The 26,492-nt window shown below is 46.0% G+C and overlaps 1 protein-coding gene and 1 long non-coding RNA gene across 4 annotated transcripts in view, besides 3 other annotated features; one reads left to right on the top strand and one right to left on the bottom strand.

Annotated features, from left to right (window-relative positions):
- Positions 1-666: 666 nt before the first annotated feature.
- LOC124904451 (uncharacterized) lies at positions 667-3,448 on the bottom strand. Its single transcript, XR_007066717.1, has 3 exons — positions 3,364-3,448; positions 2,637-2,725; positions 667-1,262 (listed from the first exon to the last, which is right to left on the bottom strand). It is a non-coding gene; the product is annotated as an uncharacterized LOC124904451 (long non-coding RNA).
- Positions 1,496-1,645: an enhancer, noted in NCBI's record as "active region_2034". NCBI's record gives its function as "activates an Ori minimal core promoter by ATAC-STARR-seq in GM12878 lymphoblastoid cells {active_cell/tissue: GM12878}" and the evidence as "EXISTENCE:reporter gene assay evidence [ECO:0000049][PMID:35858748]".
- GPA33 (glycoprotein A33) overlaps positions 1,671-26,492 on the top strand; it is a 37,542-nt gene continuing 12,720 nt past the window's right edge. Inside the window, exons 1-5 of one of the 3 annotated variants that reach the window (XM_047424480.1) lie at positions 1,671-1,803; positions 9,737-9,803; positions 10,584-10,691; positions 18,509-18,663; positions 22,910-23,126. In XM_047424480.1, coding sequence (XP_047280436.1) covers positions 23,036-23,126 — 91 coding nt within the window. In that variant the 5' untranslated portion in view covers positions 1,671-1,803; positions 9,737-9,803; positions 10,584-10,691; positions 18,509-18,663; positions 22,910-23,035. The remainder of the gene's footprint in view (positions 1,804-9,736; positions 9,804-10,583; positions 10,692-18,508; positions 18,664-22,909; positions 23,127-26,492) is intronic. The other 2 variants (XM_017000005.2, NM_005814.3) reach the window with 2 other exon arrangements.
- Positions 5,261-5,760: an enhancer, noted in NCBI's record as "H3K4me1 hESC enhancer chr1:167055525-167056024 (GRCh37/hg19 assembly coordinates)". NCBI's record gives its function as "activates a minimal SCP1, AML or CMV promoter by ChIP-STARR-seq in naive H9 embryonic stem cells {active_cell/tissue: H9 hESC(naive)}" and the evidence as "EXISTENCE:reporter gene assay evidence [ECO:0000049][PMID:30033119]".
- Positions 22,813-23,026: a silencer, noted in NCBI's record as "fragment chr1:167038259-167038472 (GRCh37/hg19 assembly coordinates)". NCBI's record gives its function as "represses an EF-1alpha promoter that drives an FKBP-Casp9 reporter gene in an ReSE screen in K562 erythroleukemia cells {active_cell/tissue: K562}" and the evidence as "EXISTENCE:reporter gene assay evidence [ECO:0000049][PMID:32094911]".

Raw genomic sequence — 26,492 nt, 5'->3', positions numbered from 1 at the left:
TCAACGTAGCGAGATTCTGTGTCTATATTTTTAAAAATTTATTAAAAAAAGAAATACGGGCAAATGAGCTACCTAGTCTCAGAAAAGAAAATATATATGATGTGCAACTATATTAAAAGATTTTCAATTTCACTAATAATTTTTTTTTTTGAGACAGAGTCTTGCTCTGTCGCCCAGGCTGGAGTGCAGTGGCACCATCTTGGCTCACTGCAAGCTCTGCCTCCCGAGTTCACCATTCTCCTGCCTCAGCCTCCCAAGTAGCTGGGATTACAGGCGCACACCACCACACCTGGCTAATGTTTTGTATTTTTAGTAGAGGCGGGGTTTCACCGTGTTAGCCAGGATGGCCTCGATCTCTTGACCTCGTGATCAGCCCACCTTGGCCTCTCAAAGTGCTGTGATTACAGGCGTGAGCCACCGCGCCTGGCCAAATTTCACTAATAATTTTAAAAAGTAAATTATATATACATGGGATATCATGTTCACTTAGATTGGCGATGAGCAGAAAGTTTGATAACTGTGTCATAAACACTTGGTAACTGTGTTAGTGAGTGTGTGGGGAGATAGGTATCCTTATATGCTGCTAATAGGAGTGTAGGCTGTAAAATTCTCATGGTAGCTAGTTTAGCAATATCTATAAAAATTACAAATATGCATAACTTTCAGTGAGTCAGAAATTTTACTTTTAAGAATTTATCTTACATGTATAATCACAACACGTGTGAAATATCGTACACATAATAGATATTGGTTGCAATCTTTTCATAGTTGTGAAAGATGAGGAAAAACAATCTTAAAAGTAGTTTGGTTAAATAAATCATGTCACTCATATACAGTGAAATATCATCCCCATTTTAAAAAGATGATGGTGGTGGTGCTATACATACCGATACAGAAAGCTTTCTAAAACCTTTCATTAAATGAAAAATGAATAAATCATTGCAGAACAGTGTATATATATCTAAAATATCTATGGAAGAAACCAGCAACAGCCACTGCTCCTGGAGAATTATGGTCCCACACCACTGATCATTCTTTCAGTAGGGTGACCATCATCCAAATTTGCTTGGGACTGAGGGGGTTCCTTTTGGTTTGAAAACCAGGACAGTCCTAGGAAAAGTGAGACAAGTTGGTCACATGTCCCCAAGATGATCTTCTTTCACTTATGAACTTGCTACTTTCCCAGTCAGAATATAAACTCTGAAGGGGGAGACTTCCTGTTTTCTTCATGACTATATCTCTTGCGCACTGTGGGGTGGAGGCTGTAGAAGAGGAGAGAAGTAGAGAAACAGATCACATTGTGTCTTGAAGTGTTTCAGCAAATATGGGCAACACCCTTCTTTTACTAGCTTGGAACCCTACCTCTGAGTGCATTTCCCTTTTTATTATTTATTTCCTGTCAGTTATAAGAGAGGCCTACCCCTTTGTGAGCAGTCTAGGACTTTGTACACTTGTTAAGTAGGGAGAAGGCAGGGGAGGTGGCTGGTTTAAGGGGAACTTGAGGGAAGTAGGGAAGACTCCTCTTGGGACCTTTGGAGTAGGTGACACATGAGCCCAGCCCCAGCTCACCTGCCAATCCAGCTGAGGAGCTCACCTGCCAATCCAGCTGAGGCTGGGCAGAGGTGGGTGAGAAGAGGGAAAATTGCAGGGACCTCCAGTTGGGCCAGGCCAGAAGCTGCTGTAGCTTTAACCAGACAGCTCAGACCTGTCTGGAGGCTGCCAGTGACAGGTTAGGTTTAGGGCAGAGAAGAAGCAAGACCATGGTGGGGAAGATGTGGCCTGTGTTGTGGACACTCTGTGCAGGTGAGTAGGCCCCTTTTCTCTCCAGTGCCCAGGGGTGGGTGAGACATGGGGACCTAGGGCTGAAGGAGAGGCTCTGTCAGAGCCTTCCCAGGAAGGGCCTCCAGCAACACAGCTGCGTTCCTGCTGGGCCAGAATTACACATTCCGGACCAGTGCCCAGAATCAGAATGGTTTTTATTTACATATTAGTAAATAACATTCTAGCCCACTGCTGAAATGAAGAATTCAAAGTACTCTCAAGACCATATTTTCTTATCCCAAATTAGATTATAGGATCAGACACAGGATTTGACAATGTGGACAAAGTATTTGAAATCGGAGTTGTCCTAGAAAATCCAGGATGTGTGGATCTAGATATGTTCATTATCTAGTATATTAACGTTTGTGTTAAAACCAGAGAAAGAGACAGGAAACTGAGGCAGAAGAGACAATGCAACTTATCCCGTATCATTCACAGAGCAAGAGAAGATTCAAACCCTAAAAACAAACAACAAACTAGATGGGTCTTTTCCAAAGGCCAAAGCTCCTTGCCACTTCTGGGACCCTGGTCATTGAAAATTCTGGGACTCTGAGCATTTCCCTCTGGGAGGGAAACCTCCCAGAACAAAATCAGACATTCATGAGTATATGGTTGAATCCACATCAAGTGCTTAATAGCACAGTGTTCTGTGGGGACCTATGGAGTGTCTAAGGGTTAGAATGAAAGTCTTGGCATTAAGGTACCAACCATTTTGCTGGGCATTGGAAGGAAATAGAATGGAGAGAAGGAAGTTGAGAGACGCAGGGTTTGGCAAAGTTTAGGAATATCTTTGGTTTAGTGTATTTGGCCATCACCTTGCAATTCAGACACTGTTGAGGGCTTCCAGGATCCAGCTGCAACGGGGAGGAGAAGAGCTATACCAGGAAACTCAGGAGCACCAAGCCTGGGGAAGTGGAAACCAGGAGACTGGTTTAGAGCTCACTTTTTAGCATACACAGGAAAGCCCCGGGCCACGGGGCCTACAGCTCATTCTGGTTCTCCCAGGCCCTAGACATGCTTTTCTCTCAACACCTGGCCTTGGGGCTCTCGAGGGAAGGGCAGCCTGCTGCTGGGGAAGGGCTGGATCACACGGTTTGGAGGAAGATCTGGGTAAGATCATTCTCTCAGGCTGGCTCAAGTTCATCTGACTGAAGGCAGAAAGCCCCTCATCATCCACCAAGATGGACTGGTTGGCTCATTCCTTTATCCAAACAACTCTTTACTGAGCACATAGTTTGTGCAGGTGCCATAGAAGTGAGGAGTCTGGAATGATTAGTCATAAGTGGGCCTATCTCAGCCATCAGATTCAGGCAGGGAGGATGCTCCAGGGCCTGAGAGAGGGAGGCTGAAGGAAATACCCATCCTTCCCTGGCTGGGCCAGTGATTCTCCCATCTTCTCCTGGTAAGCCAGAAGCTCCTCCATGCCTGCACCACCCCAACCCCCAACACATATCCCCACACTTGTAGACTGGCTGCGACCCATGCATGAATAAAAATAAGAAATTTTGGCTTAGAAAAACGATCTTAAAACAAGATGCTCACCCAGCTTGGAGGGAAAAGTGGCCGTAACTCTGAATTGCCTGGAGCAGGACATTTTGCTTCTTCCTATGAGAAGGCAAGTGACCCCTGGGGAACTCACCCAGCAGAACGAGTCTTGGGCATGTTTTCAGACACACTGATGAAGTGTCTTCTACCTCCGCCCCATCCCTCCCACCACAGCCTGCCCAGCACAGAATCACGTGCCCACCAACTTTTCTTCCTCCATATCTTACATTAAGAGGAAGAAGGGGCCAGAGCAGTGGGGCAGGAGAAGCCAGGCTTGGTGGTCGACTTGAGGTATATAAACAGAGTTTACCAAATAGTGAAATAGCCATTGCCACTGCAGGTGAGCAAGGAAGACCTTCAAAGGTCGACCAAAAGCAACCAGGCGGCCCTCCCCACCATGCCTCATGAGAGGATACCACCTCTTCCTTTGCGCAGGTAAGGGAGACCCAGTTAGGAGCAGGGACATTAGGAAAGGCTTCCTGGAGGAGGTGGAGCTTGACTTGGGTTCCAGAGGACTTACTGGGCTTTTCTCTTCTTTCTCTTCCCATCTGACCTTTCCGAGGAATTGATTCTGCTAAGACCTGGGCAGGGAAGCACTGCACTGATGAATGGGCCTCAAGACTCAAGTGGTGTTGGAGGAAGCAGAAGCTATTCATAAGGTTCCATGCAGGGGGCACAAACGCAAGGCCGTGCTTTTAAAGTAGGGAGTTTAAAAGCAATCATAAAACCGACTAAAAGTTGGTCTGCTTTGTGTGTGTGTGTGTGTGTGTGAGACAGAGTCTGGCTTGCTCAGGCTGGAGTGCAGTGGTGTGATCTCAGCTCACTGCAACCTCCGCCTCCCAGGTTCAAGAAATTCTCCTGCCTCAGCCTCCCTAGTAGCTGGGATTACAGGCATGCACCACCATGCCCAGCTAATTTTTTGTATTTTTAGTAGAGACAGGGTTTCACCATGCTGGCCAGACTGGTCTTGAACTCTTGACCTCGCAATAAGCCCGCCTCAGCCTCCCAAAGTGCTGGGATTACAGGTGTGAGCCACCGTTGGTCTGCTTTTTATGATTATCATGTGCTGACAATTCTAAACAGAGTCAGTGACAAAACAGACCTCCATGCCTGGGAAATGTTCCACCCGTCCCTCCTAACACTCCACTGCCATCCCAGGGGACCAAAGGGGGCTGACCCCAGTGCCTCTTAACTGACTATGGTGTGGGCAAATGGCTTCACTTTGCTAAAGTCTTCTTGCACAGTCTTCTAGTCTGAAATGGAGGGGTGTAAAATTCACACTGTGCCCCAACAGGGCTATTATAGGTACTAAATGAGTTTGCACATGTAAAAATCTTAGAAGAGGACTTGACACATAATAACAACTCAATAAATGCCAGTTATGAGTGCAGTTATTATTATTACTGTGGGGGAATGTAAGTTACAGAAAATTAGTAGACTTTGGTGACCAATTATCCGAGAGCTCTGAGATGGCAGACACGTGCCAAGAAAGGGAGTCAGAGGTCACTGTGGATGAACCCTAAGTTATCACCAAAAAAGCCGCCATGCGCTGCCCCCTCCACAAGGCTGTTAGAGAAAATGCTCCAATGTGTGCACAAAATCAAGGCACTTCCATTCCAGGATTTTTTTTCAGCCACCAGACTTCATGAAAGATTTGATGTGCTGCAATGTGCCGCTGCATGAAAAGGGATGCATAAAGAGGCAAGCTCCAGGAGACAAAAGTCACTGAACAGCTCTGCTCAGAGCCAGTGAAACCTTTGAAGACCCAATCTCTCACACACACACACACACTTACTTACACACCCCACCTTCCTAGAATGAGAGGAAGCTTCCTTGTTTTTCTAAGTTAAATGAGAAAAACTCAGGAGAACTTTAACCTGGGAAAGGTGTAAAAGCTTTCTTCTCTCTAGAAAAAAATGTTTTTTCTCCCCCCATATAAAAAAGTTTCAGAAAACCCACAGGTGCTTGATCCATGAAGAGTTTTTGAAGGGAACCAAGTTTGCAAGTTGCTGACATTTTGAGGCTGATTGTGCCATTTTAGAACCCTTCCCTGGCATCTTTGTTAGAGGCACAATCCCAGCAGGAAGATTTTTCCTAAATGTGGTGCCCTACACTTGTCTGCTCTGAAGTGCCATGTTCGTGTGGATCACACAGGTGTGGGTTGGTCCCTGGGGTCTGCCCTATCACGATGGCCTATCTGAGCCCAGTGTCACATGTCTAAGCTCTGTGCAGTGGCCTAGCCTAAGATATGTGGTTTAGGGGCTTAGCCTCAGATGTGCACTTCTGATGAGACCCTGGACCTCAAGAGGGTAGTATTTGGGCCAGAGCCGGGGTGGTGTCAGCCCGCAAATGCAACTGCAAGATAAGCGGCCCGCCCACCATCTGCTCTGTGGCCCTGGGTCCTGTTGCCATTCCAATCCTAAATTAGCCTGGCTCCCCGCTGGGGCCTGGGCCCCACCTGCTGGCACCTGAGCACAAGTCAGAAGCCAGTGCTTGTAGGAAGAGCTCATGCACCTGGAATGAATCACATTGCCTCCCTGTCAGAGACGCAATCAGGATTAAAATGTCCTACTCTAGTCTCAGTCCCAGCCTCAATGGAGAAAAGATGTTATGAATGGTCGGTCTAAGAAGGTTAGGTGTTCAAAAGAGGAAGACTAATAGTTTAGGCCAGTGGCTCTCAACCCTGGTTGCCCATCAGAGTCACCTGGGAAGTGAAAATACAGATGCCCAGTCTCCCCCATACCTTCTGAGTCAGAATCCAGAGGGGAAGGATCTGGGTTTCTCTCTGGTTTTTGAAAAGTTACTCAGGTGATTCTGATGTGCAGTCTAGGTGTAGAGACGAATTGGAACTTAAGGAAAAGTTGGTTTAATGAACAGTTGCCTCTAATACACTGCATGTGACTTTTAGCTCAGTTTTGCATCATCCAGCTGCTTCTCCGGTTACTGTCCAATTCCCTCAATTTAGGGGGCTCAATGGTATGCATTCTCCCACATTAGTGTGCATACAAGTCATCTGGGGATCTTGTTAAAATGCAGATGATTCGGTATGTCCAGGGTAGGGCCTGAGATTCTGCATTTCTAATGAGCTCCCAGGGGATGATACTCCTGGTCCAGGGACCAGAGTCTGAGAAGCAAGGCCATAGGGAAGAATTGGTTCATGGGCACAGGTGTGATCCTCATCTTGCCTTTGCCCACCAGAGTCCCCTCTCAGGGCTTTTTGGTAATACAACCATGCTGCCTATTGTGATGCTGGTCACCAGGAAGCCTGGGGAAAGTGTGCCTGGCCCAGCATGTACTTGTAATCCTGGCAGTGTTTGACCTGGCTAATCTCTCCCGCATTTCTGAAACACTCTGTCCTGTTGGTTCCCATGAGACTTCCTCTCCTTGTTCTCCTCCTACATCTCTGGCCTTGATGTTTCCATGTCTCCTTAGCAGCCTCATTCTCCTCTGTCCTGCCATGAAATGTCAGAGTCCCTCACCCTCAGTCCCAGGCTCTCCTATTGTCACTCTACATCCACCTCCACCTCCAAAGCTTTAGTTGCCACCCATTCCCAGCTGACTTATAAATTTCTGTCTTCAAACCCAACATCTCTCCTGAGCTATTGTCTCACAAGTCCAACAGCCCACATGACTTCTCAACTTAGATTTGTGGAACACTGAAAACTCTCAAACTGAAAACAAAACTCATGATCTTTTTCCCCAAACCTGGGTCTTTCCCAGTGAGCTCTCTCTCAATAAATGACAAACTGTCCATTCAGGAATGAAAGCCAGAAACCTAGCAGTCATCTGTTACATTTTCTATTGCTGTGTAATAAACCACTCCAACATTTAGTGACTTAAAACAATAATAATCATTTATTTTCCTCTTAAATTAGCAATTTGGATGGTGTTTGGCAGGGACAGCTTGTCTTTGCTTTATGCTTTATGCTGGGTTGGCTTAACCGGCATTGGAAGACCCACTTCCAAGGTGGTGCACTCACTGGCTAACAAGCTGGTATATAGTCTAATTCCTCTCTCCAGGGGCCTCTCCACAGACAAGCTTGTGCCTCCTCATAACATGATGGCTGGATTCAAGAGTAAACATCTAAAGAGACAAGAAGTTAAAGCTGCTAGTTTCTTAGGGCAAAGCCCAGAAACTGACCCAGCATCACTTCTGCCATAGTCTATTGAGAAGCAGTCACAGAACCCAACTCAAAGGAGAGAATAAGAACACCTTTTGTTGAGAGCAGTTTAAAAGAATTTGGGGACCACATTTTAAAACCGCCACATCACCCTTGATCTCTTTATCCCCCACCTACAAATTCAGATCATCACTTTGTGTGATGATTTTAGCTCTCCAGCATTTCTTCAATCTGCCCGTTTTTCTCCATTTCCTCTGCCACCTCATGCTCCACACTGCCTCTCCTAAGCTACTGCCACAGCTGCCTCACTTGTCTCCTGAGCCTGTTTGCCCTTCTCCTAACTGCTGTCCACCCTGGAGCCAGAATGATCTTGTAAAATAAAATCATGACCATGTCACCACCTCTGCTTAAAGCCCTTCCATAACTTCCCATGACTATTAGGATAAAGACTCAAATCGTTGTCATGGCCGATAAGCGCCAGGCCCAGCCCACATTTCTGGCTGCACTGGCCATGTATGGTGTGATTTGAGTTGCTTGTAAGAGGATCTTGGTGGGGGCAGGCAATCTGGCTGAAAGGGTGGATAGCAGGATTTGTCCTCAACTACTTGGATGAGACAAGGATGCTGTTTTTACTTGTCCTGTATTTGGACAAGTTTATTTGGATTGACAGTGGGAGGCTAAAGGATATCATATGGGGAATCATACACCCCCAAGAAACCTCCCTGGTGCCATAGCTACACACTGGTTTGTGTTAGTTTCTGGAACATGCCTCGCCTTCTGCCACCCCCTGACCTCTGCATGATGCCCTTCCCTCACATCTCTTCTCCTATTTTCTCAAGGTTCACTCCTGCTTATATTTCAATCTCAGCTCAAAAGGCCCTTCCTCAGGGCACCCTCTCTGTTATATCCTCCCATCATATGCATGACACTCGTTACTATGGTGGTTTTACATTTATTTCTATGATTATTTATTTATTACCATCTGACTTCCCTGGAACAGTGAACGCCGTGAGAGCAGCAACTGCATCTGTCCCTGCCCCACGTTGTATCCCCAGAGTCTGGCATAGTGCCCAGGACACAGGCACCCAGCAGCCGTTTGCTGGATAGGTGTTAGTGAATGGGTGCCGACCCTTCTGAACCTCCCCTAGCAGCAGGCTGACTGGCTTCACCATTTCCTATCCTGCCTTTCCTGCTTTTCTTCCTCCTCCAGGCTGCCCCTGCTTGTCTCCAACCTCTGTGTTCCTAATCTCACTTGCTTCTCTCAAAATGTTCCTGTCTCACATTCCTTTCCTGGGTTTGATAGATAAGGGGCACTAGCTAGTTAGGGAGATGGATTACTCCACAGGTTAAAGTGACTTAGAGAAAGTCACTTAGTGTGTCTTCCCTGCCTCTCAGACATCACCTGCATTTTAGCAGGAGCTTCTGTGCCTTCTGTCAATGGTGGAAGTTTCAGTATTGCAAGAGCTGGTGGAGGACATAGTGGACTTGGGGGGAAGTTCAGTTGCCCCTCAAGCCACCCCGGGTTGGCAGCACTCAGGTTTTGCCCTCCATCGTCTTCTCTCTGCCTGCTCTGTGGGGCTTGTCTCTGTTCCCAGATCACCCTGTCCCCTTTCTGCCTGGGGCACCAACCGTCAAGCTTGGAACCCGCCTCCTTCCTGAGGTGTTTCCCTCTCCTCTCCTACCCAGTGACCTTTGGACTGCTTCCTCATTTTCTGCCCTGGTGAGTCAGGGATGCCATAAACACCAGGCATGGGCAGAACATGGCGACAGACAGACGCTTCCCATTAGGGCCGTCACAAAGTTCACTGGGAGAGGAGCATAAAACGTATATCTGTTGGCTAGAGCTCACGCCCTGCACGTGTCCACCAATGTATCTCCATCTGCATTTGGGGAACAGGTGACACTTGCCGTGAGCAAAGCTGGCTTTCCAACTGTGCCCTGGCCCTTCCCCTCCTCTCGGGTCCCCTCCCAGGCTAAGGTCTTGCTCCATCTGGTGTCTGCTGCACTTTCAGACTCTTCCTTGCTGGCAGCACCTTCCCTATAACCTACAAACCCACCTCCATTTCTCCTTCTTCAATCCCAAAGGGGCTAAAGAAATCTGCTCAGGATCCTCTGTGCCCCTCTGGTCTCAGCTTTCTCATCTTCCAGTGTTAGGTGAGCTCCTGACAAAATAGGCTGCCCTCACTGTCTCTACTTTTTCACCTCCTAGTTGGCTTTATTGTTAAAAGAGGGCTGTATGTTTGTTGCAGAGCATTTGGGAAATAAAAGTACACATAGAAGAAATCTCAGATTGCCCCACGATCTCAGAATCCACAGGTAACTGTTATTAATACTGTATTTTGGTGTATTTTCTTCTAGAAATATTCTCTCTCTCTCTCTGTCTGTGATTGTGTAGGACTGGGACACTGTTGTATGCACAGTTTTGCATCCTGCTTTATTCCCTTATATATGCAGTCCAACACCGTGAATTGAATCCCTCGGGTTCTACCTCCTCAATAAGCCTTCCCATTAAATCTCTTTTCCTGGTTTTAACTCAGCTCCTCCCCTACACACCTCACTCCCTTAACACTTCCACTTTAACACTTAATTGGGCTCTATTAGGATGCTGGCTGACAGTAACCTCTGACTGCTTCCTGAGCAGGGATTGTGCCACATACCACTCAATCAACAAGGCCTTATTAGGACCCAGCTCAGTGTAGACACCTGGCAGGTAAAGCCGGCAAGTGGTGGATATAAGAGAAGCCTGAGACTCAGACGCTGCCCCAGGGAGCCTGCCATCTGTTGAGGGAAGGAGCCTGATGCACAGCCCATATCAACACGAGAACTACATGTACCTGGGATACATCTGCCCGAAGTGGCTCGGGAAAGCCAGGCAGCAGGAAGGGCTGGGGTGGTCCTGGTGGGGCTTCCAAGATGGCGTGTGAACACACCTCTGATCATTTTTCTGGTGCCTTGCACTAAACTAGGACATTGGTAGAATTTTATTGGATTGATCTGAATTTATAGATGCATAAAGAATCATGTTGAATGAACGGTTCAACATTTATTGAGTCCTAAACCACCTCCCTCCCTGCCTCTCAATCTCTCCTCTCTCAGCTGCCAGTTTGAGAGCCTCCCTGCCCATAGAGGAAGGACAAACCAACCTGCGTGTGTGAACTGCCTTCTTCTCCCTAGAGACCAGCACTTTCTCAACACCAGCACATGGTACTTGGTCCTGGGGCTGGCTGGGTCCTTTCTGGCCTCCAGAATCTCCTCCCTAAGAACGTGGTTTCTCTGAGCAAATAGATTTTCCCAAGTGGAGGCATTACTGCCAGTTTCCCAAGGGCTCACATAATGTGCTATGTATGCCTCAAGCCACCGGTTCCATCAAGCATTTCATTATCCTCCAACGTATTATTTTCCATTTAGTTCTCAAGAGACCGTTTATTATCTTCTTAATAAACCTTAATTTTTTACAAGCAATCATCGAGACCTCAGGCTGGCTCTCCATATGGACCCCCTTAGGGAGGGGAAATGACCTCTCCCATTTCCAGCTGAGGTATCTTGCAGACTCCACTTCTCATCTCTGGGGCTCCTTTGGTCCTTTATTTTACTTTTGGTCAATTTCCAGCAATTCATTGAATAGGTTCTTCCACCAAGTTTCTCTGGTTTTAAATCCTACCCATCCTGTAAGCTTAAGTTCTCTATAATTCATTCATTTGCTGTCAAAAAACACGTATTGAGACCTTTTACATGTTAGGCACTTTGCCGAGCTCTAGGGATATGAAGATGAAGAAAACACAGGGCAGCAGAGGAGAGAGACATGACAACCTAGATTGCCTGTAGAGTCCTTTATGTCCCAGGGTAAAGGATATGCACTTTATGTGAAGTCATTCAACCCTCTCACAACCTGGAGTTGGATAATATGATGATGCTCACTTCACAGTTGAAGAAACTGAAGCCCAGAGAAGTTAATTCAGTTGCCTAAGGTTACACAGTTAGGAAAAGTAAGAAAGAGGATGCCAACCCGGATAGTTTGGCTGCAATGTTTGTGCTCTTGGCCATGCTGCTGTATTGTGTAATAAAGTTTTATGAGAGAGAAGCACTAGGAGGCAGGAAGCCATGGGTAGTAGGTGACACAAAGGACAGAGTTATCAATTCTTCTTGGGAAGGTTGGGGCATCTTCTTTAGGACAATGCATGTGCTATCATGCAAGAGATTGTTATGATTCCTTCCTTGCAGGTAAAGGCGCTTGCACTTCTAACCTGTATACCCCTGGAGGTTAACACATTGATACATTATTAGTTAGTAACACCTTACAGTAAATTAGCTTATCCGATGGATGCTCTTCTTGAGCATCAGAAGAGCTCAGCCTTGACAAGGAGAGTAGGGGAGAGAGGATGGAAGAAAGAAAATGTCTAGAGCATGACGGGCACAGGGCAAAGGGAGTGACTGGATGGGAGAGCCACAGCTACTGGGAGGAGGGTGGGCTCTGGGCAACTGGAGACCTGATATTCAATGCCAACCTATACAAGGAAGCGGAAAGTGAGGTAGCTGGAAGACTCTAAAAATGAGCTTCACTTCTCAACTTCCTAATCCCAGCTTAGATGTCCTACCTGGTGCTTTGGTCTCATTCACTGAGTACGGATGCAAAGACCCCCAGGAGAGAAAATGAGGGATGCAGTGCTAATAAGGATAAAGCCTGTGGAAAAAAGTAAAAGAAACTGGATTTATTCCAGATGGAGGTGAAAAAGCTGGTGATTGCAAACATCAGAAGCCTCTAAAGCTACAATGGCGAATTATTAAAAAGTCCAGCCAGATGTCTTCATTGCCAGTAATGTCAGAACAAGAGGATATTGACTGAATGGGTGGAAAGGATTTAGGCTAGCTATGAAGGATTCCCAAGATGGCTGTTGGCATAAAGTTCTTAAACACGGAATAACTTCTCGTCTCAAATTATGGAAAATGTAAGTGTGCCTCAGGGCACAGGATGAGCTTTTTAAGATGCTTCTCAGGTTTACAAAGAACATTGAAAGAGTGCTCCACATTTTCCACATTTGTGCAAGTTTTCTTTTTTTTCTTTTTTTTTTTTTTTTTGGAGACGGAGTCTCGCTCTGTCGCCCAGGCTGTGGTGTGATCTCGGCTCACTGCAACCTCCACCTCCTGGGTTAAAGCAATTCTCCTCCCTCAGTCTCCTGAGTTTTTGTAACTACAGGTGCATGCTGCCACACCTGGCTAATTTTTGTAGTTTAGTAGAGACAGGGTTTCACCTTGTTACTCAGGCTGGTCTCGAATTCCTGAGCTCAGGCAATCCGCCCGCCTTAGCCTCCCAAAGTGCTGGGATTACAGGAGTGAGCCACCACGCCCAGCTGGTTTTTTTCTTTATGAGCTCTTTCTTATTCATTCATTTCTATTTCTTCCTTCACAGGTCTAATAACATCAAATGGATTTTAACTCTCTGTTATAATGATCTCTAAAATTGATCTATTCTTTAGTTATAATCATTAGCAATTACTATTCTTTTTTGACAGCTCACCCATGGTGATGGTGAGTGCTGCCTCTTGTGATTAACTTCTACCAAGGATGCACCTCCACAACAGAGTATGAGACAAGGAAGCAGAAGTGGCTCAATATGAAAAATATATGTAATAGTAACTATCATTTATTGATTATGAGTTAGGAACTATTCTAAACAAAGTACCCATTTCATGTCACTTAATTCTCACACGGCCCGTTTCTCAAAGGAAAACTGTGTGGCACAGAGGTCTTAAGTAAACTGCTCATGGTTATATGTATAGTAAAGAAAGGAACCAGAGTTCCAACAGGGGCATTCTAGTTCTAGAATCTGTGCATTCAAATTCTATGCCATGCTGCCTCCTGAAATGGCCATGGAGAAGTTGTGCGATACAGAGCGGTACACGCTCCGGGATTAAAGTATCGAAGGGATGTTTCTGAACCAGAAGAAAGGGAGAGTTGGGAGACAGAATGAACGAGTGGTAGGAGTGGTTGATGGGAGTATATTGCCCTCCTTGGAAGGGGATGTTCAGAGAATCTGAATACAGCCAATTCGGCCATTCCATTTGGCAGAGTCTCGCCTCTCACAAGGATGTGAGGCTCCTGAGAACTGTGAGGTGCTAGAGAATAGTGGGTGTTGTTTCTATGCAGTTGCCAGCCCTAGTTCTTTTCCTACATAAAGGTCACACTGAGTTCTCTTCTATAAGCAAATACTGTACTTAGCATTTGGTTAAGAGGATCTAAGTGTATGTGTGAAGCTAGTCTATGTCCATTAATTTGCCAGGGTAAGAAGATGACTTTGTGGGCATCTATCTTATCTCCCTGAGTAGAGCAGGGGGCTGGTTTTATATGCTAGGCACATATTAAATACTTGTTGGTTGACTGAAGAAAGCAGAAGAGTTTCTGTGACAAGATTGAGGGGTGTGATGTGGTCAAGGAACAAAATAGGAAATAGGTTCTGTTGACAGCCAAGGAAAACACCATCCTCCTGTCCCTGCAGGCAAAAATTAGCACTTTTCCCTGACTGTTGGGCAGCAGCCCTATACCCTCACCAGGGCTGCCTCTATCTGAAGGACTTGCCAGCAGCTCTGCCATTTGTTAGCTGTCAAGCTGTCATATCTAGATAGAGCAAAGGGTTTAACCTTTTGGAACCTCAATTATGTCACCAGTAAAATAGGGAAAATACAAATGTCTATCATTAAAGAGAGTATGAAAATAAATGAGAGAATATCTGTAAAATACCTGTATGGTGCCTGTACCATTGAGATGTAATTAAAATAACATGAGATTAACAGGGAATTGAGAATGATTAACTCAATAGAGTGACTCATTTTTCATCCATTGATGGTTGACTTAACATTCCTTTAATCTTGAGTGAGCAGGTAATTAGACACTCCATTGTCTAAAGGAATGACTTAGTGGGTTGGTTCTCTTTGATTTGAGAGTGAGAATTGTTACTATCAGATAGAATTTGCTTGAGTTTTGGGGACCAACTGTGCATGGGCCATTTAGGTTCTGCCAGTGGCAGAAGTCCCTTAATGTGTAGTGTGTGGCCAGGGTGATAGACAAGAACAGAATCAGTGTAAAGTTCATGGAGAGGCCCAAGAGTGGTCACCGTGAGGACAGCGCTCCAGGGAAAATGCCCTGGTCCAGGCAAGGACAGAAGAGGTGAAGTAAAGATCAGTGGCAGTTGCCATGACTACACCAGGCATATGAGAAATGATATCTAGATGGGCTGTCTGCTATAGCTGGGAGCTGGGCAGACGGCACTGGAGGGCTCCATTGAAGCAAGTAACCTTCTGATGAAGGGTGACTTGTTAGTAATGATGACTAATGTGTTTTCTTCTCTTTTTTTTTTTTTGGAAATGGAGTCTTGCTCTGTTGCCCAGGTTGGAGTGCAGTGGTGCAATCTCAGCTCACTGCAGCCTCTACCTCCCAGCTTCAAGTGATTCTCCTGCCTCAGCCTCCTGAGTAGCTGGGACTACAGGCATGCACCACCACAGTCGCTAATTTTTTGTATTTTTAGTAGAGGCAGGGTTTTACCATGTTGGCCAGGCTGGTCTTGAACTCCTGACCTCAGGTGATCCATCCACCTCGGCCTCCCAAAGTGCTGGGATTACAGGCACGAGCCACTGCGCCCTGCCAGCAAATGTTTTCTGATAGACGAAGGTGGTGGAAAGACACCAGTCACATGGAGGGTCATTTGATAAGTCTTGGCCACTTTGGAATCACCTTCTGGAGCAGCATCAGTGACTTGGGAAGCCAACATTTGAACAAATTTTCAGGGGCTTCTGGCACTGGCATCACCATGAGGAAAATATGCAAATGCCAAAGAGGGGAAACCTGTTTTTTTGACATCTTCCTGTCTCTCATTCCCAATATCCAATACTCCCGGATATTATAAACTCACCCCAGGAGCTCACATGGCCCTCACTGTACAGTGCCCATTCCAGGAGGGTGGCTGACTTTCACCTTATGAAATACTGCTTAATGAAGTATGAACAACCCGAATGCTTCCCTGTTTCCCAGGAGCGATTTGCATTTTGAAAGAGAAGTGTGTTAATCCAGCTGGAATTTGCCTGGATAGTGGAGTCTTCCCAGCTGGGCGGGGGGACGGTCTTCAGCAGGACATTTTCCTTCTTTATGCTGCAGCCTCATCATGGGAACATTCAGTAAGAACTTGCTCACCCTTCTACCACCAAATCTACCAGCCCACTTGCACCTTTAGCCACATCCTGTTACAGTGGGTAGACAGCCCGGCATCTCTTCTAAGGCCTGTCCTCCCATAACACCGTACCCCCAGCCCCATTTGCCCTACAAGGACATCATTTCTGTCCCCATTCTCTCTTGGCTCATTCTCATCATCAACAAACAGTGTAAAAGTATTATTTTTTAAATCATCATACACATATTTTGGGAAAAAGGGCGTAAACTCCTCTTGACCCTATAGCCTCCTTTAGCTGCTACAGTCTCCCTGCTCTCTTCCCTTTCCAGCAAACACTGTCTGCTTCCTCTTGTCCCATCAGCTCTTGAACTCACTCCTTTCAGGCTCCATCCCCACCACCCCACTGCATCCACTAATGCCAAGGCCACCTCCATGTGGCCACATCCAATGACCATCTCTCTGCCCTCAGGTCCCTGGTTGAACATGTCAGCAGCATTTGAGTAGCTGACCTCCTTTGCTTTCAAGAAACTTTTCCTGCTCTTGGTTCTCTTCCTGTCTCCCTAGCCAGATTTTCCTACTTCTCCCTTACTGATTCCTCCTAATTTCCTCCATCATGAAGCACTGGAGTGTCCCAGGGTTCAGTCCCACATGTCTTTCCTGTCTTCATGCACTTCCTTAGTGATCCTCAACATCCTCTGACCTTAACTGATGGAGAGCCGGTGACTCCCAAAGTTGTGTCTCCATTCCGTGCCTCTGTGGCACTCCAGACTTACATAACTGCCTCATTGCCACCTCCACCAGGGTGTCTAAGGAGCATCTCAAACTTTGCAAGTCCTCAAACAAACTCCTGATCTGCCCCCTGAAACTTCCTCCTTCCTTAACTGTTGTCATTTCAGTAAACGACAACTCCATTCTTCCAGTTGCTGAGGCCAAATCCTTCTGTCTATTCCTGACTCCTGTTTTCCTCTAACACGCCAAATGTAGCCTGCAGTCAAATCCCATTGGCCCTACCTTCTAAATACATTCCAATTTGGATCACTTCTCACCACCTCCCCACAATCACCTGTGTCTAAGACATTAGCCCTCATCTGGACTATTGAGCCAACTCTTGCCTGATTTCCTTGCTTCCATTCTTGTTCCCCACCCCACTTCTATCTGTTCACCCCACATTTGCCAGAATGATCTTTTAACAATGTATGTCAGGCCAGGCATGGTGGCTCATGCCTGTAATCCCAGCACTTTGGGAGGCTGAGGTGGGTGGATCACCTGAGGTCAGGAGTTCAAGACCAGCCTGGCCAACATGGTGAAACCCCATCTCTACTAAAAATACAAAATTAGCTGGGCGTGGTGGTGCATGCCTGTAATCCCAGCTACTCGGGAGGCTGAGGCAGGAGAATCACTTGAACCTGGCGGGAGGAGGCAATTCAAGATCGAGCCACTGCACTCCAGCCTGGCAACAGAGCGAGACTCTCTCTCAAAAAAAAAAAAAAAAAAAAGTAAGTCAAATATATTTTCTCTGCTTAAATCTCTCCAGGGCATTTTCACTTCATTCAGAGCAAAATACAAAGTCCTAAATAAGGGCTACATTGCTCTATGCAATCTGAGACCACCCCCACCCCCACAACTTTTCCATTTCATCTCTCCTCCTCACTCACTTCCCTCCCACTACACAATCTCCCTTGCTGTTCCTTGTGCGTAGACTAAGCTGACTCCTGCCTCCCTGCCTGACCCTTGCTTAGCCTCTGCCTGGAAAGTTCTCACCACTGGGATCCACATGGGTCTCTGTGCCAAGCATCTATTCTGTATAACAAACCACCCCAAAACTCAGTACTTAAAATAATAACAATCTTTATTTTACTCCTGAGTCTTCAATTTGGGCAGGGATCTGCAGGGTAGCTCAACTCTGCACCCCTCAGCATCAGTTCCAACAGCTAGGTGGCTGGGTTTGCTCACTCCCATGTCTGGGAGTTGAAGTTGGCTGTCCCAAAGGACCTCAGTTGGTGTCCCAAACACAGACACCTGTCTTTCCATGTGGCTGCTTACCTCCCTTCAGAATGTTGATGGTTTTCCAGGGTGAGCATCGCAAGGGACCAGGTGAAGAGAATGGCCTTTTATGAGTTGGCCTCAGAGCCACATAACATCCCTTACACTGGAGTCACAGGTGCACCCAGGCTCGAAGAGAAGGAACACAGACCCCACCTCCTGAGGGAGGAGAGTCAACATCACGTGGCAAGAGCATGTGTGATAAAATATGCTAGTGTGGCCACATTCTTTTTCCTAACCTTGTTCTGATAAACTCATACGAGATAAACTCCTGTGAAAATATGGTCCATCTCTTTACCTCGATATAATCTTATTCATAAAATTCTTTACCACATACAAATGTTCCATAAATACTTGTTAAATGAGAGAATACATCATCATCACAACCAAAACGATGGCAGGTAATGTTTATTGAGAGTTTTCTATGCGCCAGGGAGTAATAAAAATACTTACACATGGTATCTCCATTAATTTTCCCAATAAATCAAGGAAATAAGTATTAGAGCTCCTATTTTATTGATGAGAAAACTGACGCTCAGACAAGTTGACACAGCTGGTAAGAAGTAGGGCTGAGGTTCAGGGCCAGGCAATTCATCATGCTGTGGGGTGGAGTCAGGTGGACCAAGGCCCATGTGTTTGTCCTCATCGCAGTCTTGGAGGAGAAGCTGGTTGCCAGGGCCAAGGTGGCCAAGATGGCTCTAGCTGTGGCTGGAGGTGCAAGAACAGCCCTGGACATTCCCTCAGTGGTCCTGTGGGCAGTGAGTGGGTATGTCTGTCCGTGTCGCTTACTTTTCCCTTCCACTGCCTACTTTCTTTCCAGTCAGGGTGACCGTCGATGCCATCTCTGTGGAAACTCCGCAGGACGTTCTTCGGGCTTCGCAGGGAAAGAGTGTCACCCTGCCCTGCACCTACCACACTTCCACCTCCAGTCGAGAGGGACTTATTCAATGGGATAAGCTCCTCCTCACTCATACGGTAAGGATACTTTACAAGTTCAGGCAACATGGGAATGATTATCACCTGACCAGGACCTCTTAGAAGGCAAGCACTATGAAGTCTTTCCATAAATGGTAGAATAAACACTAGCACCCAGGCTGGAGTGGGTGGGGAGGGAGCAGTGAATGTTGGGCTCATGGAGGGCCAGAGTATGTCACCTTTATTTTGAAAATGTCACCTGCCCCTAAAATATCTTTCTGGTGGCCAATCTCAAATGACCTAAATTGTATCATGCGAGTCAGTCACTCCTTTTGATTAGCATAGCCCTTGCTCTGAGGCCAAATTTTATGGGTTTTTTTTCCTGTTTGGATTCTTTTGGGAAGTGTGGAGGAGTTTTGTTTTTTTTTTCTATTTCTATTTTTAAATAGATAATATAATCTCATGGTTTGAAAATCAAAACCTCATAAAAAGTGTGCATTGAGAAGGCTCATTCCCATCCCTGCTTCTCCTGTCTCACCCACCCTCTTCCCACACCCTCATCCTCTATCCCCCACTTTCCTCCACCCCCAGGCAGGGCATATACGAGCATGGATATATGTTTTTATAGATGTATTTGCGTATATGAATATGTATATTTACATATACTACACACATACTGTTTTGCATTCGACTCTTAATACATCTTGGGCTCTTTGTGTATATGAGTATATTTATCTATCTCATTTTTCAACATTTGCAAAAGGCATTTCAATTTATGAAGGTACTATATGTACCATGAATGGACATTTGGTATGTTTCTTATATTTTGCTGCTACAAATAACGCTGCATAAATATAAATACCCTTATATGTACCTCTCTATATATACATATATAAAATAAATTATTAAAACTCTGGGTCATGTGAAAAAGGGTATGTGAATTAAACATTTTGACAAATAACATCAAATTTTTCTCATTAAATGTCTCCCAATCTTTATTTTCACCACCAACAGTGAGGACACCTATTTCTCCAACACAGAGCATTCTCAAACTGTTCGCTATTTGCCAGTCTGATAAGCGAAAAAACATCTCATTCATCATCAAATTAACATTTCTTTAATTATAAGAAGTAGAGCATCTATTCATAAGTTTAAAAGTGAGGTCTTCTTTTAAAATGCAAACGTGCCTGGCAGAGATAAGCATTAGGTCCCCGACCACTTAGAGTGGAAAGACTTAGCTTTTTCCCTAACAGGAAAGAAGGGGTGGCCTAGAACACTCAAGGCCTCGAGCGGGCAGGACGGATGGGGAAAGAGAGCAAGTCTTGGTCAGACGCACCAAGGGACCATGATGGGCCATAGCCACCTGTCCCGACTGCTCCCAGAGTCCCAGGGTAAAATCCCAGAGAGGGGAGCTGCTGCCTTTAGCTTGTAGGAGCGAAAGGGAACCTTCTCTTGCCATCATACTTATTTAGCAGGCCAGACTTGAGGTCTCTGCCTGACAGTTTTCTGGGTGTTAAGGTAGATACTAAAGTTATTTTATTGACTGCTGGGTCCCTTACTTCCAGAAGGATTTCAGGCAATTGCCTTGAGACCCTGCAAGAGTATAGAGAAAGGGATTTAAATACGGCCCCTCAAGGAGATTATTGTGACAGGTCCTAGCAGGTCTTCTAGCCTGGCGGAGGTCCAGGGAGGGAGGCTTAGGATATCTTTGATGGGAGGAGGGTTAGTGGGCAGAGGGTCCTGGGCAGAGCCAGTCAGCATCAGAAAAGAGCAGAATTGGGAAGGACCGGTATCCATGGACTGATCCACAGCCCGAGACACCTTTGCATCTCCCATCTTGTTTCTCCCTCGCTTGTCAGCTAAGCTTCCTGAAAGAGCTGTCTGCCTCAACCTGGTCTGTTGCCTGTGGTTGGGTAGATTGCACCCTGCACAAGGATATGTGCTTCATTAGCCAAGCCATGTATCCCAGCACAGGCTGTAGAGCCCCTTATTCTAATGTTGCACAAAGCGCACTGCACGCACAGGTGTCAGACTTGACATCGGGTCTCCACATTCTCTGTCCATCATGGTCTCGCTTCTATACCTAATGCTCTACAGAAATCAACAGCAACCTCTTTTTTCGCTCAATTCAGTACACTTCATTCAGCCATCTTATTTCATCTCTCATTAGCATTTCACACCAGCAGCCACTTTCCAACCTTGGAGTCTTCTTGTCTTGACTTTCTGGAAGTCTTGTCTTGGCTTTTCCTCTTAGCTCTCTGACCTCTCCTTGACCCTTCAAATGAAGTAACTTGGTGACTTGCCATTTCTCTACTTATTTATCCCGGGTGGCTTCATCTAGCCCATGTCTCAGTGAACATCGACATGTCATTGGCTCCCAAACCTTCATCCCCAGTTGCACTAAACTGACCTGTCTGGCTCTTACTGACTCCTCCACCTAGATGGATCTCCCACCGACACTCCAGATACCCCACACGTAAAGAGAACACATTGTTTATTCATAAAACATTCCCTTCCTTTGTGTTTCCTCTCTTGGAAATGACATCACCAAATATCCAAGCCAAAAAACTCTTACCCTGGAAGTCTGCCGTTCCCTTACTCTGTCCATCGGATCTTCTCCTGGCTTCATGGTCTCATTGGTGCCCCCACTTTCATACTCCTCAAATTCATTTCATTCTTTCCATCTGCATTGCCACAACCTTATCTGAGGACCCATCATTTTTTACCTGAATTGTTAAACTGGTTTCTTAACCAGTCCCTTTTCTCCTTCCAAGTCACTTTCCATCCTGTGTTGAGAGCTGACTTCCTAAATACATGGCTCTCTAGCACTTCAGGGTAAATGCAAACTGTTTAGTCCCATATACACGATGTCTGAGACCTGGCATTGTAGAATCTCCGGACTTCAGGCTCTGGAGCCACAATGCCCGGTTTGAACCTCAGCGCTGTCGTTTACTTAAACATCATGTGAACTTGGGGGAGGCCTTTAACTTCTTGGTGCCTTGGCTTCCTCATTTGTAAAATGAGTGTAATCATATACCTACTTTAGGGGTGTTGTGAAGATTCCATGAGATAATACATACCAAGTGCATAGGCTAGTACCTAGCACATAGCATACACTCAATAAATAGCAGCTATGATCTTTATTGCTACCTGCCCAAGCTCACCCTCTCACCAGTCCCTCACTCACACACTTACCTCCATTCATACTGAATGACTGGGGTTGATATGTTGCTTCCCACATCTAATTCTTTCTCTGTGGTTCTTCTTTTGCCTGAAATGCCCAACACCTTTATCCTACTCCAACACTTACTCTCCCAATACCCCCAGCCCTTTGCCTGGCTAATTCTTAGTTGTTTTTAGGATTCAAGGCAACTGTCACCTCTCCTAGGAAGCCTCCCCTGACTTACCACTCTGGAAGTGATATTTTCTTCTGGGGTCCTAGAGATAATCACAAGATGTTGCAAGGTTTGGTTGTCTATCACTTCCATCACTCTTTGGGTGCAGAATTCGTGAATTATCATCTTCAAATGTCAGACACCTAGTAGATGCTCAGTTATAATAATGGCTAGCACTTCTAGAAACTTAACATGTCACATAATGCCCTAACTGCTTTGTGTATATTACTACTGTAATTCTCACTACAGTCCTGAGAGGCAGGTGTTATTGTCATCATCTCCATTTTGCAGAATAGTTAACAGAATCACTGGTGGAACATTTTGCTCAAGGTCATACAATTAGTACATGGCAGAATGGGGATTTGAATTGAAGCAGTCTGGCTTGAAAGTCTGTGATTTAGCCATTACCACATACAATTTGATAAATGATGAGTCTATCAATCAATCAGTACATTCCAAAGGCAAGAGTCAAGAAAATAAAGTGGGTTTGGCAGCCAAGGCTGGCTGCCCAGCATCATGCCTGGTACATGGAAGGTGCTCAGTAAATACTGATAGACTGAATGAGTGAGGATAGGCTATGGAGAAAATGGAATGGATAAGAGAGATGCCGGAGATTACAAGAGGTGAAAGTGCTGGGATCCCAGATGGACCCATTCACCCACATGTGTACTGCGGTATGAACTGCCTAACTTCTTTCAATATTTTCATTTTAAAAATAAACTAAAAAAATATATATATAATACAAGAAATCCACAAATGGGTAGCACATATGCGAGCTATTTGTTCTGAGGGGTTGGCAGGTCTGTGCTTCTGGGCCCTGGAAACTGGGGGATGAGGGTAGTCAGGGCAGGCTGGAAGCACCAGGCAAGGGCCTTTGGGTGAAGACCTGGTGCCATTTCTTCTCTCTCCAGGAAAGGGTGGTCATCTGGCCGTTTTCAAACAAAAACTACATCCATGGTGAGCTTTATAAGAATCGCGTCAGCATATCCAACAATGCTGAGCAGTCCGATGCCTCCATCACCATTGATCAGCTGACCATGGCTGACAACGGCACCTACGAGTGTTCTGTCTCGCTGATGTCAGACCTGGAGGGCAACACCAAGTCACGTGTCCGCCTGTTGGTCCTCGGTGAGTGTCTTCATGTCTTTCAGGAGTTGTAGGAAGAGGGTGGGCAGGTGGCAGCACAGGGAGAAGAGCCCAGGTGTTGAGACGAAGCCAGAGGCAGCAACAAGGAGCTAAGACTCCTCACCTCGTCCAGGCTGTCTTCAGCAGAGGGACCGCTCCTCCCTTTGGAACTAAACACTATTCTGAGTTCTCCGCCAATGGCCAACAGTCTCGAGGACAGAGAAGGCCGACTTGGAGTGGTCCCTTGCTCTGTCGGTGTCCTTTCCTCCATACCAGCTCCTCTTTTTCATACCACACTTATTACAAAGATAAAGGAAAATCTTAAATCCTATTGCAAAGACTCATTGTGCCTTAATTGGGTGCTCAGGGGGCCACATCATGATTCTCTTATATCTTTCCCTGCCGTAACTTTGGCTACCCAGCAGAAATTCTTCATGCCACCATCTGCTCACCCCCATCCCTCAACAGATACTCCATCAGTCAGGTTCTGCTCCCTTTGAAATGTGTCCCAAGATAACATTCTTTTCATAGGAATGACTTATTATTGGAATTTATAGTTTGGGAAGGATCTGAAAGATCATCTACTTTAATATCCTCATTTTGTAGATGAAGCCCAGAGAAAGGAAGGAACTGACTCAAAGTCAAATCGTTATTGGAAAATAACTGTTATTTAATGAGCACTTAGTCTATGTCCAATATAAGAAATGGCACCACTGCTGGGAGGTAGCAATGCTTTAAACCAAAACAAAGATCTTTTTTCCCTCTTCCTTTTACATAATTGATTGCATTTTATTTTTAATTAATATGTTTAATTTAAATTAAATTTATTTTAAAATTTAATTTAATTAATAATTAAGATATTTTTATTGCATAAGGTGGTTGCCTGACGTTTTGAAAGCATTATAGTGGGTCCAACTATACAACTATGCAAACTCGCATTGTATAAAGAATAACTAAGGTCTCCTTCCACCCTACCCCCTAGAGAGGTAGCCAATGGCAACACAGGTAGGTATTCCATATTTTCCTCATGTCCTTTCAACACACACACACTCTTGCATACTTTTCTCTTTTCCTTTCTTTCCTTTAAAAAAAATGGAATCATGTTATAAAGATCACTCTGCGTTTTTTCTTTCTAACCTTGTTTCATGCGCATTTCTCCAGATCGGCACATGCAGATCTACCGATTAACAGCATACATTCCATCACACGGAGGTACCATGATTTATTCAAGTGTTCCATACTGATGAATATTCAGGCTGTTAACATTTTTTTGTATGAACAATACTACAATAGACATCCCATACACACACGTACATATGTATGTTAGGGGTCCCTTAAATAGGTCTCATTTCCTTTGGGCAATGGAAGTATTAATGCACACTCCCCCGAAATCCTCCACATAAGCATTATATAAATGCTGATCCCTCTTCCTCCCAACCAGGGCCAGCCAGAAGGATACAAATTTAATCTGAGATTATGGAACTCGGTGAAACCAATGTTTTACTTTTTTAAAAAAGAAGAAGGGTCGGGTGCGGTAGCTCAAGCCTGTAATCCCAGCACTTTAGGAGGCCGAGGCGGAGACCAGCCTGAGCAACATAGCCAGACCTCCTCTCTACAAAATAAATAAATAAATAAATAAATAAATAAATTGAGGTGGAGGATCTCTTGAGTTGGGGAGGTCGAGGCTGCAATGAGCCGTGATCGAGCCGCTGCTCTCCCACCTGGGTGACAGAGACCGGCCTCAAAACAAACAAGCGAGCAAGCGAGCAAGCAAGCAAACAAACAAAAAACACAGAGAAAAGAAAGAGCCCATTTTTTTAATGCACTCGAAGAAACAAGTTTAAATTATATACATATAAACATATATAAACATAAATAAAAACATATATAAACATTCACACACACGTTTTCTTTCCTAATGGCTTTGCAGCTAGGCTATTTTAAGGCAGCCAGCCCACTGGGGCTGGATGACCTCAGTAAACCGAGGCGAGCATGAAGCTCCCAGCCCGGCGGCCCCTCAGCCCGCGCCTCGGGGCAGCACGCGTGGTCTCAGTCTCGGTTTCGGCTGGGAAAACTGGGGCTCCGGGACCGGGGACCCGGTGCTCCGGCCTCTGGCGCCCCCTGACGTCTGTAGCGGGAGTCGCAGGCTTCGGAGAGGCCTTGGCACCCGACTGGTTCCGTTTCCCCTCCCTCCCTATCACTGCTCCTCCAGTGAATATTCAGGTAACATCTGCATTCTGCTGGGGAGGTAAGACTGATAATATACCGAGTCCCCCGGAGGTCTCACGGGCCCCACATGTGTGGAAGGACGATTTGATCTGTTAAAGATCTGTTTGATCGGAGGTCCTACCTGTTTTTGACGGTGGAAGGCTGAGGGGAGAGACCTTAGTGAGGGATCTGGACAGGGTGAGAGCAGGGGTTCCTGGGTGAGGCCAGAGGGTTTAGGGGCTGGGAACTGACACATTCCGCCCTAAGGCTGATCTCTTTGGGAGTGGCTGGTCACTTCTTTGCCATTGTCTGTACCTCTGCCTCTGGAGAGAATTAAGGATTTGCTTTCAGCAGTTTTCCCTTAGAAAATGGTGGTTTCAGCAAAGCTATAACAGTTTTTGGATGCATTCGGATGCCTTTGAGTGCTCTGTAGATGCCAGTAGGCCTCAGTTACTTTTCTTCCCTTTTTGTCTTTTATCCCAAAGAAACCTGGTTGTAGAAAGGCTCTACTGTCAGTCATGCACACTTGGTGTGACTTTGGGGACACCTGGGACTCCTCAGGTGGGATTGGTGTTTTGCCCGCTCTCCAATTGTGGAATAAAGCCTTTGCTTCCGATTCAAGGCATTCCTGGGAAAAGGCTGAATGGTTTGGATGCGTGGAGAGGGATGCTCCCGTACCTCTGAAAAGCTCAAGAGATAAAGCTTGGCTCAGCAAGCCCATCCTAGGGGTCCTCTGGGAAGTGGTGTTCACCTTCTCTTGTTCCCCGGGGACCTGCTTGTTGGCTGCTGGTAAGAGTGGTCCTTAAGCCGCAGACTCCCCCTCCCCACACTGCTCCAGTCCCAGGGTCTGGTGCAGGATAGATGAGGCCCGGCCTTGAACTTTGGACCTCTTATGTTTAGGAACCATCCAAGGGAAAGTGACAATCAGGGAGGGCCTCTAATTTCCCTCATGCTCGCCCCACACCTGGCCAGCCCTCACTATGGCAGCAGGAGATGTTGGGCACACCCAACAATAGCCTGGCTCTTTCCAAGAGGAAATACTGTGGCTGCTGGGCTAGAGGGGAGTGGTGTGTGTGGAAGGGTTTCTCTCAGCAGCTGCCGGGTGGGGCCGAGATCAGAATGCACTCCTGATGCTCAGCGACCGTGCACCTGGATTATAGA

Source organism: Homo sapiens, chromosome 1 (genome assembly GCF_000001405.40).
Source record: "Homo sapiens chromosome 1, GRCh38.p14 Primary Assembly".
NCBI classification, from domain to species: domain Eukaryota; kingdom Metazoa; phylum Chordata; class Mammalia; order Primates; family Hominidae; genus Homo; species Homo sapiens.
The sequence above is the reverse complement of the archived record's forward strand: the minus strand, read 5'-3'. Positions and strand labels throughout refer to the sequence as shown.